Below are 4,619 nucleotides of genomic sequence, written 5' to 3' on the forward strand. Positions count from 1 at the left end.
AGATATATGCTTGATTTTACTCTGCTAGATTGACCAATTTGTTAAAACAATTTGTAAGAGATGTGCTAGGGGAATAGAGCTAAAAACATAATTAATGCCAAATAGGAGAAATTAGGCATGGTTTCACAATGATTATTTGAGGTAGTATTGAAGATAAATGGGATTTTGACAAATATAGATATGGTAAGGCATACCCTATAGTCTTATTATGATATAAAAAGTAAGTAAGAGCTGACTTCCAGCTACCCGAGAATTCTCTACTATATCAGATCCTTGCTGCCTACACTCAAAGAAGGACGAATATGACAAAAAATATGAGTTTTAGTGGCAGCTCTCAACCAATAACAAATGAGAGTTTGTCTTCTTTACTTCCCTTTTGGTGTTTCCTAGGATGTCTGACCTGCTAAACTACCTCATTCGAATCCTTGACTCAAGATCTGCTTCTGGGAAGCCCTAAGACTTTACCTCCACTAATCTCAGCCTGCATACTAGAGTGGGTGGTTCTCAAGAGACTGAAGAGGCTACTGTCAGTCTCAAGGTCATCTAGCAAATTTCCCCTCAGTAAATTCAAAATCTTAGTAAATTCAAAGGCAAACTCAGACTGCAACAGCCAAGAGAGTAGTTGTCAACTACTGACACCAACTGTGAATCTCAACTTCTGCCCATGTGGGCCCTCTAATGTTGTCAAGATTGATGAGGTCCCTTGGTATTCTACCTTCCAAGTCTCACACTAATGCCTCTCTCTTGACATTTAATGCAAAAATTCTGAAAGCAGTGATGGTGATGTTGAATCAAAAACAAAAAAATCAGCATAATTTTAACCTAAACATTGTTTCATCATTTGTGTGTACAAATACCACTACCTGCCACTGTTTTCATTTCATATCAACATTAGCCATGGTGAGATTTCTCACCTCTTCTTTTTCTCTCTGCAAAGAAAAATTTTACCCAGTCTTCAAAGTGCACTTTTATCACTCTCTTGTGGTAATGTTGGGCAGCTGGATGAGATTTGAATAAAGATCAGGTTCTCTTAGTGAGAATTAACAGAGAACAATGCCAAACTTAAGGAAAATTAATGACAAAGAATTAAGGAATAAAAAGCTGAAGAGAATTAGGAAATTTATTCAAACCCATATGGCTAACTACTGATTTTAGAAAAGCATCCAGCAAATATTAATGAATTAGCATTTTGAGGAGGTTCCCAGCACTTTGCATTTCCTGTCTTTCTGACTCTGGGAGAGTTATCATTTCCAAAATGTTGTATCAGCAAGCTTCATCATTAAAATGGGAGCAGTCAGTGCTACTGGAAAAGTTTTACTTAATTTAGTTCTGGAACTGAATATTGGCTTGATGACCTTCTTTGAAAGAATTTGAAAACAAAACCCCTTCTCAAACAATGACATATTTTCTTCTTTCTGTTTTGTTTGTGTGCATAACCAAGCCATCTAACCAAAGATTTTCCCAAATTTTATTTGTCTGGGAAAATCAAATTCAATCTTTAGATATATGTGTGTGTGTGTGTGTATGTGTGTGTGGTGTTTGTGACGTGTTCCTCTATATACCAAAGGAAGAAAATATTTGACATTATGCTCTGGATTATGTTCTTCTGATTGCCTGGAAATTGTGATAATGATTTCTCCTAAAAATTTATTACAGTTGTAAGGCTCTATGTCATGCTTCCATGCGTATTTTCTCTTCTAATCATCACAATAAACCTATTGCATTGATAGTTTTATTATCTTCACTTTTATAAACAGTTAAATAAGTTAAATAAGTTGTCTAAGAGCACAAATTATTAAGAGCTGGATTCAAGATCCAAGATTGTTTAGGTCCTGCTTTTAACCAAAAAATCTTCTGTCCCTAGAAGATATTTAATTTTGTTTAAGTGTTTATGGTTCAATATTGGAGTATTTCAATGACTCAGGCACAGGATCTGAGGCCCCTAACATGTAAGGTGGACCAGGATGCTTGCAATTTTCTGTCCATTACCACACATGACTGTATATTAGCATACTAAACATAAGCAGTAAATATCAGGCTTTGTTTGAATTTAAAATAACAAGATTTTCACCATAGGGACCAGATCTTCATTTTTTAAAGTGAAAATGTATTGAAATAGGTGGATATAATTAGAATCAACATTTCATATTTTGATCTCAAAGGCCACCATATTACCAGTTCTATCTCTCCTCTTTGAAATGGCTGTAGAACTTCCATGAACCTAGATAGGACGTGGTCAAATTACCATTTCCTGTACTAAATGTCCAAGTGACTGGAAACAAATAAGAACTCTCCAGGTTATTTCAGTGGGTAGCCTTGACAAACTATGACTCTATGAGGAATTCCAGTGAGCAAGAATAAAGTAACCCTTAAGAACATGATTAAGTACTTGTTTTGTACTCCTGGATTTGATAACTATATACATGATAGTGTTCTGTTTGTGTTAAGCCTATAATATACGATCTTTAAAAATAAAAAAGTCATAGTGCGAAGTAGGGAGAGGAGTTGGAAGCCAAATCCAGGAAAGATATTACTACTGCAATGCTCACATGATGATAAGTCTGTATTGAGCGTATTATCTGCCTTCAATAAAGTGATTTTTCAGATAGTCTTGATCCAGAAAGCATCTCTCTGCTTATGCTGTTTAGAATGGTTACTATTTAAGTATATTTCTGCCTTAAATGTGAGCCTGAAAAGTGCAGATTACAAGAAAAACAAAGACAAAACAAGAAAATATTTCTGGGCCTGGAGCGGTGGCTCACGCCTGTAATCCCAGCACTTTGGGAGGCTGAGGCAGGTGGATCACCTGAGGTCAGGAGTTCGAGACCAGCCTGGCCACCATGGTGAAACTCCATCTCAACTAAAAATAAAAAAAAATTAGCCAGGCATGGTGGCAGGCACCTGTAATCCCAGCTACTCAGGGGCCTGAGGCAGGAGAATCACTTAAACCCGGGAGGCAGAAGTTGCAGTGGGCTGAGATTGCACCATTGCCCTCCAGCCTGGGCAACTAAAGCGAAACTGTCTCAAAAGAAAAAAAAAAAGAAAAAAAATTCTCTTTTTGGTACCTGTAAACAGGCCATGGATCATTTAAGCCTTGGTTGCAGTGACTAGAAGTAACATATAAATGCATGAAATGAGATTGGTCTAGTTGTAGCAGAAGAGAAATGCTAGATGTAAGGTCAACCAAGAACTGTTACAACAGTGGTTATTCTAAGTAAGATGGAATTGAATTATTTGAATGGAGCAATAACTGAGACTAAGCTTCATTTAACACTTAATGAAGAGGTAACAAGGATGGACTGTCATAATAAGGTTTTACAGTGTTCATTTCTGGAGAATTTCTAAGCAATCCTGAGATTAATGGAATCGCAAAGAGAATACCTGTTAAGAAAATAAATCTTAGGATATAGTTAAGAATAATCACTTTACATTCTTGATTAGAAAAAGGTCCCAGAATAAATGTATAAGGACCATTAAAGAGGAGAGGGGCAAAAATAATAACACCATTGGATCTATACTAGATTTTTAAAATCAAAAACACTTTGATAAGCTAAATAGATTTTTAAGTCATCTGAATTCTATTTTTCTTTAATTTCCTAGTGTTTTAGGAGGATAATAACCAATGTGACAGAGGCTTATCTTTGCTTCAACAAGCTCTTTAAATTGCAATGTTTCATTTAAATTTTATTTATATTAACCAGAACTTTAACAGCAGGGAAGAGAGATGTTTTATTATAAATTCTTATCCTTTAAAGAGACAACATATTTTCCTTTTGCCCAAATATCTTTCCTCATATTGTATTACCATGAGTTTCCAAAATATCTTGTGGTGTTGCTTATATTTGCACATGCCTGGAATTCCTTAACTCTATTGTCAGAGAATAAAGAATAACCACTGTTTAAACAGTTCTTGGTTGACCTTACATCTAGCATTTCTCTTCTGCTGCAACTACACCAATCCCATTTCATTCATTTATAAATTATAATTATTTTAAATATCAACCTTGGAAAGGTAGAAGTAAAATCATTTTAAGATGGTATGGTGTACATATTGTAATTCAATTGCTCTATTCAATTAAAAAAATGCAGAATGAGAAATGACTATAGCAGTCTTATTTAGAAGAACAGATTCCACCTGGGAAATACAGCTAGTTAATTTCCCCAGGCTCAGCTGACTCCAATAATTAAAAGCAATCCCTCAAGCTTCTCTCATCTCATACCTGATCAGTTATTCTTAATTTTCTTCTTAGGTGGTACACTCCATTTGTATCACGGTGATCAATGCCATTCTTGTATCAGTCAGTATATAATTTGGTAACAAGCAATGCCCCTAATTTCAGTGGCTAACAACTTGTCTACACTATATGCCCTAAACGTACAATAATAACCCTCCTCCATTCCCAGGATATGATGGTAGAAGAGACACAATGCCACTAGATACTTGTGTTTGACAAGACCTACAAATTCTTCTGTATTTATCTCTTTTCTCTAACTTCATCTTCCTCCTCTCTACCCTATGGAGCCTGTGCTATAGCCACACATCACGTGTTTGTAGTTCTTTGACTATAACAGACTCTTTATTAAACCCTGTTTTTTATTTTATTTATTTATTTTTTTGT

The sequence above is a fragment of the Homo sapiens genome, chromosome 11 (genome assembly GCF_000001405.40).
Source record: "Homo sapiens chromosome 11, GRCh38.p14 Primary Assembly".
In the NCBI taxonomy this organism is placed as follows: domain Eukaryota; kingdom Metazoa; phylum Chordata; class Mammalia; order Primates; family Hominidae; genus Homo; species Homo sapiens.